We start from the raw sequence: 18,679 nt of genomic DNA on the forward strand, positions 1-18,679 counted from the left end.
TTTCATCAGGAGAGATAAGAGAGAATGGAGAGAAATGGAGAGAATTGCAGATAAAGTTGTTTTTTGTTTACTTCTCTCATGATGTAAGTCCCAGGGGACATGTACGAAAGACAATACAGTGGTCAAGAGCTTGTGCTTTGTATTCAGAGTCCTGTAATCAATCCCATCTCCTGTGTTTATTTTCTGTGTGGCCTTGGACATGTTACTTAATTCATGTGTGCCTCAATGTAACCATCTGCAAAATTGAGATAATACTAGTCACCTTTCTTATGAGGTTGTTGTAGAGATTAATTGGGAAGCTATTTTTAAAGCATTTTTATAGTAATTTATGTAATAAGAGCTCAACAAGTTAGCCATCATCATCATTGTCATCTCATCTAGAAATCCTTGATTTCCATCTCTTTTCTATCAGCTGCATTATATCTTGCCCAAGATCCTTCTGTAGTTTGACTATAGAGCATATGTAATTATTTCTTAGTGTTATTGAGTCTGAGTGGATAAAAGGAGGATGTAACAGAAAGCTCCAATATCCTGTTTATCATCTGGCAGACTTTGGAAGGGTAAATGTTCTTTAGACTTACTTTTCGGCCCAGTTGATAACACATTTGCCCCAGCAGCTTATTCCTCAGGTAAATGAAATCTTGCTAAAAATACAAAGTTGACAGTGAAACGCTTCTGGAAGCACTGGGGTTTGTTTTCCGGTGACAGACAAACAGCAGGATGTGTGTATCCCACTGCTGTGCTCTATTCACCTTGCATCTCTCAGGCAGGATTTGGTATTGACTTTTCTCAGCTACAGGAAAGGTTTACAGAACTGGTCTTCATGAAATCAGTTAGGAGTGTTATTAATGGGTTACTGTCAAATTTATTATTGCTGAAATTTTGGCTCTTTATAATAGATGAATCAATTGTTAAAGCAACATTGAAAGATACTTCCATTTTCTCCTCAAAGGTTCATTGTTCCCAGTGTTCCTCTTCATAAGCTCTGTGTGGTTAGTGACCCATATATGATTCTCTGAAAATGTTAAGAGCTTCAAAAGTCAATTCTATATTGAGTGATGCCCTATATTTTCCTGAACACTTTGATGGAGTTTGCATCTAGATTTATTTTATAAGAAGAAAAACATTAAACTTTTAAACTTTATAACATCATTCTTGACATCAACCACTAAATTATTATCCAAGCACTAATAATACATTTATATTTTATTAAAAAGATGGCTATTGTAGATTTGGAGATGTATGTTGTATTTATATAGCCATCTGTTTCGGAGTAAGAAGATAGTACACAATTTTATTTCTCCTTTAGGGAAGGAATTTAAAAATATTTATAATCTTTATTTTTAAACGCTGTTCATATGGTTACTGGGGGAAAGAATTCAGATCCTAAAGGATCAGTCATATCTCCAGTAGTGTTTTCTCTTCAGTTTTCATGTTTTAATGTTATTGCACCTTCTGGATGCTGTATTTTACATGAGGGACAGAATAGTGAGCTACAGATATTTGAAAGGTGTAGACATGAAGGAAGAACTGGCCTGGTTTAGTACAAAGAAGCCAGGGGTGGTTTAGTGAAACTCAAAAGTGAAAACAAACAGAATTCAGAAGGCACTTGAGACTGTCTTTTGCACGGCCTTTGAGACAAGTGAGCTTCTGCAGTCCCTGTGATGTTTAAAAATACCCCTCAAACATTAAGCATATGTGTGTATAGGTAGAAAGCGTCCTGGACCATATTATTGATTTCAAGTCTATGAATCTGAGATCAGCCTCTTGTGTTTATTAGTGGTTAGTGCTTCTGACATGGTAGACATTTTTAGTTTTTAAATCAGAGTAGTTAACAGTCAGTCCCCTTCGCCAGCTTAGTTCATACTGCTATATGTTGTGGAGTCCTTTGGAAATACACTCTGTTTTCCCCTTTTCAGGTAGAACCCAAGGCAAAACCTAAAAAAGAAAAGCTATATTTAAACCTGTAAATCCTGTGGGAGAGGGAGAAAAAGTTTTTATTTGCAGGAATAGACCTTTTTTTTTTTTTTTTTTTCTAGAGTAAGAGTTTTAAGGGAATAGTGTCTTGATGAAGAAACTAATTAGCCATGCAGTGTGAGCCACTGTGTAGCTTGATTTTTCTATTTTGTAGAGAATAGGTATTCCATTTCCCCAGTGCAGCTATGGGAATTTTGTAGATTGGAAAACGCTGTGTTTTGTAGAATCTCAAAACAAAGTCACCCGCTTGCTCTGCTTGGAGCTTCTCATCTCTTGTGTCCCATTTCTGAGCCCTTTGGCTATAAATGTTTTGTTGAGGGGTGGGGGGAATATAGATATCAATTTTAATATTTCACCTCTTAACACGTACCATTTGGTCGTATGATATGAATTCTGCACTCCTGACTCTGTCTTTTTTCCATGATGGCATTTTAACCAGCATATAATTGTGGATGTCAACTGGAAGTCAGAAAATGTACATACCTTCTTCTTTCTCTTGTTGACCTTTTTGGGATATTTAATGTTTTTAGTGGAAACAGTGTCTGAAAGACATCTCATCTGGCTTTTCACATAATCAGAGTAGGATTTAACTGGAGTGGGAAATGTTCAGTTATGCCATTTGGGCCAAAGACTCCCCTCACACCCACACCAAAGGAGGACCTGTTTTAGGATACATGGTACTCTTCACAAATTTAAGTTCCTTTTCAAATTTCTTTTCTAGATCCTGAGGTGACTTCCTTCTAAGTTTTTCCTCCAAAGCTACCAAATAAACCCTAGTAAGTAGTAAGCAAAGCAAGATTCTGAATTCAATTCTACTTAGGATAATTTTGTAGTAATTGTTTTTATAGATATGATGGCTAGCAGCAAAACAATGTTCCTATATTAGAGACACATACATCTATAAATTTCTATGCAGGAAGTAATGTCATATATGCTGCTATAACCCATGTATATTCTTTCTTCTCTACTCATCACTCATTCCAATTCCATGGTTGTTTAAATTCATAAACATATTGGATGTATATTATTGCACATTTTATTTCAGAGCTGAAAATATATTGAGTTATCTGATAACTACCGTGAACTTTTGAGATAAGTTTGAGTAAAATATGTTACCGAAGGAGTAGTAAAATTTTTATCACTCATTGTACACAGAGACTGAAACAAATTTTCCCTCTAAATTTGCCCTCTCTACAATCACAATCTCTTATTGGACCATAACAGCAGAATATATCATTACATGGTTTAGTGCACCATGTCTCAAATTTCAAGGTGCACACAAATCACCCAGGGATCTTGTTAAAATTCAGATTCTGACTTGGTAGAACTGCAGTGGGTCTGAGATCCCAGTGATTCCCGTGCTGCCAGTCTGCAAGCAGCAAGGGGTTAACTTTTCCAGATGAAATTCTGGTCACAATGCTAACTACATTCTGAAAAACTTATACAGACAACTAACAATAGGGCTGGTTGTTAGTAATTCTACCCTTGCTATGAGTGCTCATTAAAACCTTACGTTAAATTTATCATTATGATTTGGACAAAATGAAGAAGTATAGGCATCAAAATGAAGAAGTATAGAAGTCAGGAAGTATAGGCATCTACCTATATGAGCCTATAAACAAAACTGTATCTCATCTGAAATGTGTAATTATCACAGAAGAGAAAGTGACTAAATAAAATTATTTTAACAACATATACCAAAGCTTAAGCTTCTGGAAAGACTACCTAATATTCCATAATAGAATTAGCAAAACAGTTATCAAGCCTATTGATGGCAAGCATTGAAGTCCAGTAAGGGATGTAACAAAACTACAGTCACTGAAGCAGCGTAAAGGTCACTGAAGCAGCATAAAGGAATGTGGTGTCCTCAAGAGTCCTCCATTCAGCAGTGTCCACTAGCTGAGGAATTCAGGATTTAAGTGAAATTGGGTCAGATGCCAAAGAAACCATGTAGTAGAAAAATAAGCATTTTAAAACTAAATCGCAATGTTAGACATTGAATTCTGATGAATGGAAACATCTGGTGAAGTGTTTTCATGACTGGAAAATATCTCAACTCAGAAGGTACCTTGTTTTTAATGTAGTTTCTCAGGACTAATTTTTTTAGTGGCCTATTTTTAGTTAAAGGGGAAAGCTTATAATTAGTAAAACAATCCATCATTGAGTAAATATTAACAGAACTATTTCATGCCCGGTCTTTTGTGCTTTGGGAACACTAAAGAAATAGAAGATATGGTTTGTGTGCTCAAGGTGTTTACACTCTGGTCATGGAAATACAAACACGTGAGAAACAGTGCTCAGCAAAGACGGAGCTCCCCCCACCCCACCAAAATAAACCAAACACTTGAAAACAAATTCTACAGTAGCTTATATAAGAATATATAATAACATATATTTCAGTAACAAATTATAAAATACAATCTAAAAATGATGTAGTTGGTAGTGAGGGCATTTTTGGTTGTGACAGTGACAATGATATAAGGGCAGGACTAGCATTTAGTACACAGAACCATGGTTGCCAGATGCTCTACAACGTGTACTGCTGTGGAAATGCTGCACCCAAATAATTTTCAGCCAAAATGCCCAGGATGCCACCACTGAGAAACAGTGCCAGGATGTCAGAGTTAAGGAAAATCTGAAAAGACTGGAGACATTAAGAGAAGTGTATACATGGTATGTACCTGTCTTTGTCCTTTCTAAATCCTAAAATTCTAAGGGAAAGTGGAACACAAAGGAAGCACAAAGAAGTGAATTTATGTGTGAGACTTTACTAGTTGACCTATCTAAAATTATTTACCAGCTGCAAACTGCTGCCTAAAGTTCATAGTAGAACATTAGAGCTAAAACAGATCTGTATCATTTTACAGATGAGAAGACTGAGATCTGGGGAATTTAAGTGGCTTGTCTTGAGGCACTTAGTTCTGACTTCTATGGGCAGTATGTTTGCATGTATATTAGATAATGTTCTGAAGGTGACTTTAGGCAAGATCTTGGTTCTCATAAAACAAAGCTGTAAGTAAAAAACACATTCTTGCATATATCCTTCTATATGTGTACATATCTTTGCTCTGTGTAGCCACTCTTACTGCCATCTCTGTGTATACACACATACATACACACGCATACTATTAGGGAGAAAATAGAGAAGACAGCAAGCAAAGAGAGGAAAGCATACTTTTAGATTTGACAGATTTAAGTTATAGATGAAGGCAGTTATCATTGGTTATGATTCTAGTGGCAATGATTCTAATTCTTCCTACCTCTCTCTTCTACCCAAAACTCTTGCACATCTATCCTTAATAGCTGAAATTACTTTTATAAGGGAGAAAACTTGTTGTTCTGTAACGCTTAAAGTTCAGATAATTCTGGGAGAGGTAGTACTACGATTTAAGTGCTCAAAAACTTATAAATGACTGATGATTTTTTTATATTGGGAGCAGATTTTGAGTAGGATAAAGCCATCAGGCCCTCCTGGGGTATTGGACAAAGGGAAAAAAACAAATGAAAGAGGTTGTCAAGATTTTTGCTTATTTCATAGTTTTGCATTGGACCTGTGATGGATATTCCTTTCATGAATATCAAAAGAGCATGACCTAGCTACAGCCTGACGCATGATACATATTTGCTGTGGGTTAACCTGGAGTCTTTTAAACCAATTCTTTTCCAGTGTCTGCCTTCAACTAACAGTGTGGAGTGAAGTAGTAGAGAAAATCAGACTCTGAACCCAGTAAAATGCTGATCACCAGAAAATGGGTGATTCAAAGGGACAATTTTCAGACCGAATGAATTCACTTGAAATGAATGCCAACCTTAACTGAATTAAGCTGTGCTCTTTCAAATCCACTGCTGTGAGTTCAGTAGACAGTTGTCTGGATTTTACATAGCTCTAAGCTAGAATCGTAGGTCAAATTGTGACTTTTGGAGCCTCATACACTGTTTGAATTTCTAACAATTTTTACTCAGGTTTGAGTTTGCCAGCAAATGAACAAGTTCCTGTTAATAATGAGTAGACCAAATTAATCGCTTCAGATGAATATCCATATGTGTGGGTGCATCTCAAAGCAAGTTTGAAATTCTAGCTTCTATTGAATTTACTGGAAAAAAAAGTTTATTTTGGTATTTGTGATGATTTCTTCTTTTTATATGTTTTCGAATACCAGGAGACATCCCTGCTTATGTGATTTTTGTTACTTCAGTTTCTAAATGGAACAAGTAGTATGAAAAAGTACAGTCATGGAGAAGACTATTCTTAGTTCTCATTGATATTAGAATTTCTGTCTTGTTTTCACACGATACTGATAGCATAGCTGTCTACTGGAATTTGCCTTGGGCAGAGGTGCCAAAGATATTTTCTTCTGGACCCATGATTTGGGAAAACCATTTTTAACCTGTGGAAGTTCCTTATTTTCCACGAGTTAATGAACAAATCTTTACTGGACTCTTCAAGAGGAGATTCGAAGGGAAAAGTACTTTAGGGGGCTATAAAATGAATATAAGACAGTCCTTGCCCTGTGGAAGAGATAATCAGGTTGTTGACATTAAAGTATCACAAAAAGAATAATTACAGTCTAAGGTATGCAAAATATTGGAGCAGACTAAATTCACTGAAGTGAATTCTTAATAAAGGATTGGTCCGAGTGGGTGGGATTTAATCAACAAGTGCATCTAGGCAAAGGCAATTTTGGAGACAAGTCATGGCTTGGTGGGAGGAAGGTTTTCAGGCTGAGGGCGGTAAGAAAGCATGTGTGAAGGACAGTGAAGCTGACGGACAGTGCGTAGAATGTCTGAGGGTCTCCTGTATCCAGAATGTTCACAGCTCATGGCCTTTGTATTTGGCCAAGTGCCCACATCTTTAAGAATGTATGTAGCTAAGAAATGTAATTTTGAAAACCAATTTGTTTCTATTTAAGCATTGTTTACTGACCTAATTAAATTCCCTTAATGTCATATACTAATTTAGTGTGACTGATTATTTTGACATATTCTAGATACTTTTAAACAAAGAAGACATATGTAAATGTAATGATTGCAAATTATTAATATATTACTATACTTATTAACAGTGTGGGTTTATGTAATCTTATTATTATTTCTCTATTCTTTTTTATACCTTTCTAGGGTTATAGATCTACTTATTTAGATTTCTTCCAGGGAGTTCAGTAATAATATTTTTTGTGTCTTTTTGGGATTTTGTAATCTTTACAGGACCACAAGTAAAAGAATTCCTTCTCAGAACAGCCACGGTTACAGGATCTGAGTTATTGACTGTTGGGGTCCTGGATGCTTTTTTCAAGTCAGAGATTCACATCTGAGTCACGGGTTGGCAGTTAAGCTGAGTTTTCTTTTTAAGGGTTAAATTTCATATGTATTATTAAAATTTAACTTCTTTAAAAAAATGCTTTCCACACTGGTTCACATAGGTTTTCTTTTTAATCTTGTTTATCTCCACCAGATGTGTACTTTGTAATACGTTGCTTAGGCAACATCACCTGCCCTTTAGCCTGTTGCATTACATCCACCCACCTGGTCTGCTGCCATTGGAACATGCTGTGTTGCTTTTCTTTCTACACTCATGCTGCTTGGACCCTCCCCACAGGCCCTGATCATTCATTCCTGTCCTTGATACAGTTCCTTGGTACTTTTTTTCTAGCACTTCTTGGCTTACTCACAGTTCTGTATCTTAAAATCAACCATATTGTATTATATTCATACTTCTTTTATATTATAGCTGCCATTTGGCCTTTATAGTAACTTTTCTCTTTTGAAATCATAATGAACTCATGGTCTTTCAGCAACTCATCTTGTTCTATTTAACCATACTTTTATTTTTCCTTTTGATGCTCGAATAAATAATCACAGTTTGATCGTTGGGAGCTCCTTTAGGCAGATTCCTTTGTCCTTCTAGCACGATCCCTGACATTTTTGAAAGGATGCCAGTTTTCTGGTAACAGCTGGATGTTTCCTGGCTCTTTCACACTTCCTGCACTGTGAACTGGAATCTATTACTTTCCAAAGATTTCTTCCTTTCCTTACTGGAGAACTGGAACATAGGCCAAAATCTGGGCACTAGGGGTGCACATGAAAGTTAGTAGTGGATAAAAGGGCTACTGTTTGGTGGTTGGAAGAGTCTGTGTTTTTGAGGTTTGGGTTCTCAGTGATTTTTTCCAATTTGACATTCCGTACTTCTGTCTCTGAGTTTTTTTAATATATGAGGTTTTATCTTTTACTAAGACCTTTTACTGCACTGACCATAAGCATTTTGCTGTGGGCAGAAAGATTCTATTTGGGGTGGGAAGCATTTATTCAGATTGCTGACAAGTTAATATAAGCATTCAACTGAAGACTTGTACGCAGGGGAGTAGCGCCAGTGTATACTGCGTCCTCCAGAGCCCTCTTTCATTGCTAAGACCCAGGCTGCTCGCTTTTCTCTTCATGCACTCTGGATACTTAAATTTATTCTAAGAGCTCTCCTACCCTCCCCTTTTCTCCCCTCTTACCCCTCTTCTCCCTTCTCCCCTCTTACCCCTCTTCCCCCTTTTCCATTTTCTCTTTCCCTTCCCCCACCCTTTCCCCTTTCCCTTTTCCCTTTTTGAGATAGGGTCTCACTATGTTGCCCAGGCTGGAGTACATGGAGCATAGTGGCACAGACTCTGCAGCTCACTGCAGCTTTGCCCTCCCTGGCTCAAGAGATCTGTCCACCTCAGCCTCCTGAGTAGGTGGGACTACAGGTGTGCACCACCACACCCGCCTAATTTTTATATTTGTTTTGTAGAGACAGGGTTTTTCCACGTTGCCCAGGTTGGTCTCGAACTCCTGAGCTCAAATGATCCACCTGCCACAGCTTCCCAAATGCTGGGACTACAGGTGTGTATCACCATGCCCAGCTAAGTTGATTGTTTTCTACTTTTATTTTGTAGTTTGCTAGTAGTTAGCAAAAATGGTAAACGTGAAATGTTTAAGAATATTTATGGGAAATATTTTAAGTTGAGAACCTTGTTAAATTTTTTTTTTCTCAAAAATTAGGGAAAGGCGGCCCTCTTCTGTCTTAATGATAGAATACTTTAGAGATGTTGGTTTTTCACAGGTGCATAGTTTCCACTGATTTTTATAATTATCAACTGTGCCATAGTCAGATCCATTAAATGAGAGACTACCTGACTCAAAGTATGTATTGTAAGGCCGTTAAGGCATGAAGATGGAGAGAAAGCTGTACTTTGCAGTAGATTCTGTAACAGTTTCTCTTGCTTAAATTGTATAGGTTCAGAAAGCCATCAGAATTTCTAATTGGAGTTCCTCTGTTTCCTGAAGCCAACAAATGACTTTTTTTGCTTTATTGTATTTTCTAGAACTTAAAATACAATGTTAAATCAAAGTGTTTGTGAAAGTGGATGTCCTTGAATTTTCCCTGTTTTTAGGTGAAAAGCATGTAGTTTCTCAGCATTAAGTATGATGTTACATGTAATTTTTTGGTAGATGCTCTCTATCAGTTTGAGGAAGTTTTACTCTGTTTTTAGTTGGTTGAGAGGTTTTATTGTGAATGGATGCTGAATTTATCAAATGCTTTTTTCTGAGTCTATTGAGATGATCATATGATTTTTAAAAAACTGTGTATTAATTGCTTCATAACAAATTATCCCATAACTTAACATCTTAAAACAACATACATTTTTAAAAAATCTTAGTTCCTATGGGTCTCTTGCAGATGCTCCTTAGCTGGCTCAGGGTCTCTTATGAGAGTCCAGTCAAGCAGGAAGCTGGAACTGTGGTTGTCCCTGAAAACTTGACTCACAAGGTTGTTTGCAGGCCCTAGTCTTTCTGCACAGGTGCCTCTCCACAGGGCTGCCTCATGGCATGGCAGCCGGCTTTCCCCAGGTCTGGTGATCTAAGAGGGGATACTCAAGGCAGAGAGAGCACCAAAATAGAAGAAACATTGTTCTTACAATGTTTTCTCAGAAGCGGTATCCTATGATTTTTGCCATATTATATTTATGGGATACAAGTCAACAAATGCAGCCCACACTCAAGAGCTGGGGATTACATAAGAGTGTGAATACTTAGAAGTGGGTGTTATTGGGAGCCATGTTAGAGACTGCCTACCACTGTATTTTAAAATGGTGAATTACAGATTTGTGAATGTTAAGCCAACCTTGCATTCGTGGGATTAGTGTGACATTGTCATGGTTTACTATCTTCTTTATATATTGTTGCATTCAATTTGTTGAAGATGTACCAGTAATTTTTTGCATCTGTGTTCATGAGAGAGATTGATCTGTAGTTTCCTTACAATGTTCTTGTGTGGCTTTGGTATTGGAATGACACTGGCCTTATAAAATGAATTGGGAAGTATATCCTCTTCATCAGTATTTTGAAAGGGTTTCTGTACAATTGAAGTCATTTCTTCCTTTAATGTTTGTTTTAACTTCACCAGTGGTGCCACCTGGCCCTGGCATTATCTTTGTGGTAATGTTTTTGACCACAAATTCAATTCCTGTCATAGACACAGGCCTATTCATGTTATCTATTTTTTTTTTTAACTGAGTGAGCTTTGGTAGTTTTTGTCTTTCAAATAATTGGTTTCATCTAAGTTGTGGAATTTATTGGCACAATGTTGTTTGTAGTATTTGTAGAACATCTGTAGTGATATCACTGCTCCCATTCCTGATAGTAATATTGGCGATGTATATTTTCTACTTTTTTTTCCCCTTATCTGTCTGGCTAGATGTTCATCATTTAAAAAAAACTTCTCTGAAAACCAGCTTTTGGTTTTATTGATTTTTCTTTATTGTTTTCTGTTTTCTATTTTATTTATATCCACTTTCTTATTTATTATTTCACTCTTCTTATCTTGGTTTTTATTTGCTTTATTTATTTATTTTTTTTTTAGTATTTTAAGGTGGAAGCTGAGGTTATTGCTTTGAGACTTTTCTTCTTTTCTCTAGTCATTTAGTGTTACAAATTTTCCTACAGCTAAAGTACTACTTTAGCTGAATCTCACCATTTTCGTATTTTGTGTTTTCATTTTTATTTAGTCCAAGATGCTTTCTAATTGCCTTTCTCTATTAATTTAGTCATCAACTATTTTCTGTCATCCTTATCTTTTAGTTTCTATTTTAAGTAATTTGATTTCAACGTGCCCTTACATTTTTTTTTCTTTCAAATTTTCTGTGTTTGCAGTTCATTGACTTCTCAGGCCCATGTATTTATAATTTAATTGCTTTAGTGATGTGGGTGGTTTCTTATTTACTGCCTTCATGTCCTTAAGAAGAGCACAAAAACCCTTAAAAATATTGCATGCTCCAACATACTTGTAATTCATTTTTACTTTTTGATCATGACTAGAGGACTCTGCCTTGAGTCTTTTAAAAATATCTTCAGCTGTTTTCTCACATGCTAAAAAGTATGATAATATTTTTCTCATTTGACTTAGTTAGAATTCAGCCTGTGCTTAGTAGTTGAGACATACTCATAGGGTTGATGTTTAATGATTAAAAACTTTTTGTTTCAAAAACTTGAAATGGCTTATTTTAATTATACATGCTTTTCTACTTTAGTGGTTTTTAAAACATTACATATGTTGGAATATTTATTATAAAATTCACACAAGAGTGTACCAAAAATTGCTAATCTTGCCCGTTCAATTCCACATGTCTGGAGATATCTGATGTTAATAGTTTGGTGGTGTGTTTTCCTGTATACTTTTCACCATGCTCATACACTCACAAATATCTATATCTATGCATCTGTGTCTGTATTTATATCTGTATCTGTCTATATCTATCCATATACATAGCCGCATTTATACCCCACATGGAGTCATTCTATACATATTAGCTCTGTGTATCTGTGGGTTCTGTATGCACATACTCAACCAACCACGGACCCAAAGTGTGTATTCAAAAACTTCGTATTTTTACCTTAACAGTGTGGGCTTTTCATAAATATCTTCGGTTTTTCTGCTTTTGATAGCATATAGGGATGTGGGAACTTTTTATAAGAAGAAAAGCATTCTAAAAACAATTTTATTTAGAGTTATATTTTCTTTAGAGAGAACAATTAAATTAGTTAGCTTTACAGACAAGCCAGAGGCCATCAAATTATTGAATAAAGACAACAAAGTCTCCAGAGTATCGGGAGAATGACAGGCTTAGAACTAAAGTAAAAAGCAAGGAGCAAAAATCACAGAGACTGAAATAAAATGAGAGGGTGGGGAAGGCTGGGTGAGAAGAGAATGGGTGAAGAAGGAAGAAGAAGGGAAGGAGGTGGAGGTCTAGTGGAATAATGTAAACCAAATTTTGAAATGAATGCTTTTTGGTGTTTTTCTTTTACAATGTTATTTCTTTTTATCCATTAGCTTTGAAATAAAGGAAACCCCCACCATTGTCCTCAGTTCTTCAGTATCTCTAACCATTAGCTCCATTCATTCCAATTTGGAGATGAAATCAAGATGGGGACAGATTTTAAGCATACATATTCATGCATAAAACTTTTAAACAACATAATGCCCTTTCCTTCTCTAGCCTAGGTTAGCTGCTTACACGATGACCCATCAGTTAATGTCCATCTGATTTGCCTATTTTTTGTTTTTTAAATTAAGGCTAGTTACCCAACCTCTTAATGATTCAGAAATAAACCACTTCCAGTCAGATGGTAAAACGTGTGACAGAGTTCAAGAATCATGTTAGGGTACTACTAGCAGCCTGGGCCTTAAGTTTCTCATTTTAGAGGTAGATTTTTTAGTGTAAGCTCTAGTGTGAGATCTAAGTGTAAACACAATGATTGTGAGGATTTTTTTGTACTGTAATTTATGCTGATGCAGCTTTTAGAATGTGGGCTTTTTGGGTATTTCCTGAAACTGAAATTGGCATGCTTTCTAGAGTTATATATTGGCATGTTTAGTGATATTAAAGTTGCAGTGAAGAGTTCTGAATTTAATTTCTTCTTTTCTCAGATATGTGTCACAAAGATGTCTACACGGAACTGCCAGGGAATGGACTCAGTGATCAAACCCCTGGACACAATTCCTGAGGATAAAAAAGTCAGAGTTCAGAGGACACAGAGCACTTTTGACCCATTTGAGAAACCAGCTAATCAAGTAAAGAGGGTGCATTCTGAGAACAATGCTTGCATTAACTTTAAGACCTCCTCCACTGGCAAAGAGTCACCTAAAGTTAGGCGGCACTCCAGCCCCAGCTCGGTAAGTGCAGTCTTTTTGTTTATCACTGGGTAAACAGAAGGAATAGCCTTCTTATGATAGCATGCGGTGCTGGAAGACAGCAGGAAACTTTATCAGTGCCTTATTATGCATTCTCTCCCAGGGTGGTTGAATGTTTTGGAAGAGAGAGAGCAAACTATATATGGACTCCTTATTTATAAGCACTAAGCAAGCAAATGAATGAAATGATTCAACTTATTTTTGGAAAAATCATTTTTCCCCCTTAATTGTTTCTAGTTAGAGGAATTTATAATTAAAAGTCTTTTGTATTTCAAACCCTTGGAGAGGTTATTGAACTTTACTGTGTAGGCAGTAAGGATAGTTTTGAAATTAGCAAATTCACAAGGAATTTCATTGCAGAATAAATATCAAAATTTGTTCACTTGCGTTAATCCAGTTTTTTTTGGGGGGGTACTCCACCAGTCTTTCTCATGTGACTCTGTAAAGTGACAAGTTGAAGTTCTTTTCCAGGACAAAGCCCTGTACTGAATGGAAAATGCTGGAGTAGAAATCTGTGTAGGGTAGATTCAGTAGGACCAAAGGAAAGAAGAGAATGTCCAGAAAGAAGTGTTAGAGGGAAACAGACTTTAGATATAACTAGTGATTTACAAGTTAGAAAGGAACACACCAAGAGAGAATATTCTCTGTTATATTTCTATTCTCAAATACATTTTTTCCTACTTTTTGGCTTAAATTAATATACATTATTTACAATTGTATGATAATGTAAATTTTGGTCAGGGAAACCACAAGTATGCTATGAATAAATTTCCTTCCTTGCACAACTTCTTCATTTTCTTAGTTGTCATTGTCTACTTTTCCTTCATTCAAATTAAGATAATTTTAAACACAATTTGAGGCCTGCAACTATATGACAAAACTGTAAAATGCCTCCAAAACAAATCAGATAATCTATCAGTTTTTCTCCCCCACTGAGATTGCCCTGGCAGTTCTTCATAGTCCTAATTTAATATAGATTGGTTAACCTCTAATCCTATAGTCATAAGGCGTCCTTTTCTGAGAATTTTTTCCTCCTTTTTTAATGTTAAATACCCATTCTCTGGGTTACATGTCTTTCTTGTTCTTGGTTTATTTCATTGTTTTAAAGTACATCCTCGCAGTAGCTTCTTGAGAAAGGGTGATGGGGGGTTTGTCATATGACTATGATTTTATCTGTCGTTGATTACTTGATTAATAATCTGGCCAAGTATGTGATTTTAGTTTAGAAAATAATTTTTTCTTAGACTTTTGAATACCTTGTTTTATTGTTTTCTAGGTGCCTAGATTGTATTGAAATCCCTAGACTATTCTGGTTTCCCAGTTCATCCTTTATCTGCTTTTTTGTTTGTGGAACTTTCTAGGACTTTCTTTTCATCCCTGGTGTCATCCTTTTTCTTGGTATCAATGGGTGTTTTCAATTTTTGAGTTAATTTCTTTCAGTTTCAAAAATTTTCTTATATGTTTATTTAATTTTTTGTAATCTTCTCTTTTACGATAACATTTTTATTAGTTGGATGTTGGCATTATTGGATTGATCTTCTAGTTACCTTTTCTTTTCCCTATTATTTTAAATCTTTTTTTTCCTACCTTCTGGGTTTTTTTAACTTTTAATTTTTAACCCTTCAATTGGATTTTTAATTATACTAATATTTATTTCCATGAACTCTTTCTTATTCTTTGAATGCTCTTTTAAAAAGTATCCTGTTCTATTTCAATGAATAACATATCACTTCATATGTTTCTGAGGATACAAAATGTAGCTTGGGGAATTTTTTTTCCTTTTACATATTCTCTGAATTATTTCTGGATTTCCTTTGAGTTTCTTGTTTCTGTTTATTTGTTTTGGTCTCTGCCTTACCTGTTGAGATTTTTGGTGGGTCTATGTCATGCCTCTTGGAGAGAAACTGTTGGCTGTCAGTTTATGTTATGAGTAATGTACTCAGAAGTTGATTGGAAGCTCTGTGCCTGGGTGGCTTGTCAGTTGGTTGGCTTCAGCATAGGGACTCTTGGTGAAGACCTAGTCGTTTTATTTAAGTACTCTCAAATGTCGCTGTCTCTTGATCTTGTTTTTGTTACTGGGTGTTTCTCACAAAATGGACTTACCCAATTTATTTTTTTTAGGACATATAAACCTAGCTGTCACTATTCTGAGATGATCAAGAAGGGACTGAGGACCCTTCAGTTCTCTATGCCAACTTTCTCATGATTTTTTTTTTTTTCATTCGGTATGACTCTTCAATCTGATATCCACTCTGCCTGGTATCCAAGCCCCAGTTGAATTCTCTGATTCAACCTCTTCAGAGAATAAATCTCTGGCGGGACTAGGAAGGGATAGGGGGCTGGCCGAGGGAGACTGGGGCAAAGACCTCCACCTTAAATTCACTCCAACTAATCATATCATTTGTAGCCCCAACTTGAACTTCAGCTTCCAGTTTGTGAGTATTTTTGGGATTCTGAAGTATGAATTGACTTATTTCTTACTGGCTTATGCCTTGGATCATGTAGGTATCAAGGTTTTTTTTTTTTTTTTTTTTTTTTTTTCCCCACTCATCCTAGGCAATGTGACTTCTCAACCATTTGTGTCCTGTCTTTACATTTTTATTTCTATCTCGTCTCTAGTGTTCTCTTTACTCATTTTGATTGCCCTTATGGGTTTTAATTTTAGTATTGTTTTAGTATGAATTGGTAAGGGGGAGAGATAAATACATGTTTTCAAGCCATCAAGTTTCACTGGAAGTTTTCACAGTTTCTCTATTGTATTTTTTAGTTTCTTTAGATCATCTTGGGCTTACCCTTTCCTGGTTCACCCTGGGATGACTTTTTTTAATATATATTAGGTCATTTATATTACTTTGTGTGGGAACTGCTTTGCTTTCTTTTTATTTTAGGAATTTTTGCTTCAATTCAATGTGCCCTGGAAAAATGTCTTTTCTCTTACCTTATCAAACTGGAAATGGCTTCGTTTTCTCTTTCAGCAGGATGCTATAATATCCTGTTTTTTTCTGAGTCCTTTCTGTTTGCTGCCCTTTTAAAAAATATATTTTTTCTTTTTTTAAAATTATACTTTAAGTTCTGGGGTACATGTGCAGAACATGCAGGTTTGTTACATAGGTATACACTTGCCATGGTGGATTGCTGCACTCGTCAACCTGTCATTTACATTAGATATTTCTCCTAATGCTATCCCTCCCCTAGCCCTGGTGTATGATGTTCCCCTCCCTGTGTCCATGTGTTCTCATTGTTTAACTCCCACTTATGAGTGAGAACATGTGGTGTTTGGTTTTCTGTTCTTCTCTTAGTTTGCTGAGAATGATGGTTTCCAGCTTCATCCATGTCCGCGCAGAGGACATGAACTCATCCTTTTTTATGGCTGCATAGTATTCCATGGTGTATATGTGCCACATTTTCTTAATTCAGTCTATCTTTGATGGGCATTTGGGTTGGTTTCAAGTCTTTGCTATTGTGAACTATGCTGCAGTAAACATACGTGTGCATGTGTCTTTATAGCAGAATGATTTACAATCCTTTGGGTATATACCCAGTAATGGGATTGCTGGGTCAAATGGTGTTTCTAGTTCTAGATCCTTGAGGAATTGCCACACTGTCTTCCACGATGATTGAACTAATTTACACTCCCACCAATAGTGTAAAAGCATTCCTATTTCTTCACAGCCTTTCCAGCATCTGTTGTTTCCTGATGTTTCAATGATCATCATTCTAACTGGCGTGAGATGGTATCTCATTGTGGTTTTGATTTGCATTTCTCTACTGACCAGTGATGATGAGCTTTTTTTCATGTTTGTTGGCTGCATAAATGTCTTCTTTTGAGAATTGTCTGTTCATATTCTTTGCCTACTTTTTGATGTTGTTTTCTTTTTTCTCTTGTAAATTTGTTTAAGTTCTTTGTAGATTCTGGATATTAGCCCTTTGTCAGATGGATAGATTATAAAAATTTTCTCCCATTCTGGAGTTTGCCTGTTCACTCTGATGATAGTTTCTTTTGCTGTGCAGGAGCTCTTTCGTTTAATTAGATCCCATTTGTCAATTTTGGCTTTTGTTGCCATTGCTTTTGGTGTTTTAGTCATGAAGTCTTTGCCCATGCCTGTGTCCTGAATGGTATTGCCAACGTTTTCTTCTAGGGTTTTTATGGTTTTAGGTCTTACATTTAAGTCTATAACCCATCTTGAGTTAATTTTGTATAAGGTGTAAGCAAGGGATCCAGTTTTGGCTTTTTACATATGGCTAGCCAGTTTTCCCAACACTATTTATTAAATAGGGAACCCTTTTCCTATTGCTTTGTTTTTGTCAGGTTTGTCAGAGATCAGATGGTTGTAGATGTGTGGTGTTATTTCTCAGGTCTCTGTTCTGTTCATTGGTCTATATATCTGTTTTTGTACCAGTACCATGCTGTTTTTGTTACTGTAGCCTTGTAGTATAGTTTGAAGTCAGGTAGTGTGATGCCTCCAGCTTTGTTCTTTTTGTTTAGGATTGTCTTGGCTATGCAGGCTCCATATGAAATTTAAAGTAGTTTTTTCCAGTTCTGTGAAGAAAGTCAATGATAGCTTGATGGGGATAGCATTGAATCTATAAATTACTTTAGGCAGTATGGCCATTTTCATGATATTGATTCTTCATATCCATGACCATGGAATGTTTTTCCATTTGTTTTTGTCCTCTTATTTCTTTCAGCAGTGGTTTGTAGTTCTTCTTGAAGAGGTCCTTCATATCCCTTGTAAGTTGGATTCCTAGGTATTTTATTCTCTTTGTAGCAATTGTGAATGGGAGTTCACTCATGATTTGGCTGTCTGTTTGTCTGTTATTGGTGTATAGGAATGCTTGTGATTTTTGCACATTGATTTTTTATCCTGAGACTTTGTTGAAGTTGCTTATCAGCTTAAGGAGATTTTGGGCTGAGATGATGGGGTTTTCTAAATATACAATCATGTCTCTGCAAACAGAGGCAATTTGACTTCCTGTTTTCCTAATTGAATACACTTTATTTCTTTCTCTTGCCTGATTGCCCTGGCCAGAACTTCCAATACTATGTTGAATAGGAGGGGTGAGAGAGGGCATCCTTGTCTTGTGCCGGTTTTCAAAGGGAATGCTTCCAGTTTTTGCTTATTCAGTATGATACTGGTTGTGGGTTTATCATAAATAGCTCTTATTATTTTGAGAAACATCCCATCAATACCTAGTTTCTTGAGAGTTTTTAGCATGAGGGGCTGTTGAATTTTGTCAAAGGCCCTTTCTGCATCTTTTGAGATAATCATGTGGTTTTTGTCCTTGGTTCCGTTTATGTGATGGATTACATTTATTGATTGGCTTATGTTCAACCAACCTTGCATTCCAGGGATGAAGCCGACTTGATCATGGTGGATAAGCTTTTTGATGGGCTGCTGGATTTGGTTTGCCAGTATTTTATTGAGAATTTTCTCATCCATGTTCATCAGGGATATTGGCTTGAAATTTTCTTTTTTTGTTGTGTCTCTG

The 18,679-nt window shown here is 36.1% G+C and overlaps 1 protein-coding gene across 4 annotated transcripts in view; it reads left to right on the plus strand.

The window, feature by feature from the left end:
- Positions 1-18,679, plus strand: part of CDK14 (cyclin dependent kinase 14) — a 614,270-nt gene that overhangs the window by 117,321 nt on the left and 478,270 nt on the right. For all 4 annotated transcript variants that reach the window (NM_001287135.2, NM_012395.3, NM_001287136.1 and 1 more), the window contains one exon: positions 12,926-13,171. In NM_001287135.2, the coding sequence (NP_001274064.1) occupies positions 12,926-13,171 (246 nt within the window). The remainder of the gene's footprint in view (positions 1-12,925; positions 13,172-18,679) is intronic.

This window comes from Homo sapiens, chromosome 7 (genome assembly GCF_000001405.40).
Source record: "Homo sapiens chromosome 7, GRCh38.p14 Primary Assembly".
Classification (NCBI taxonomy): Eukaryota; Metazoa; Chordata; class Mammalia; order Primates; family Hominidae; genus Homo; species Homo sapiens.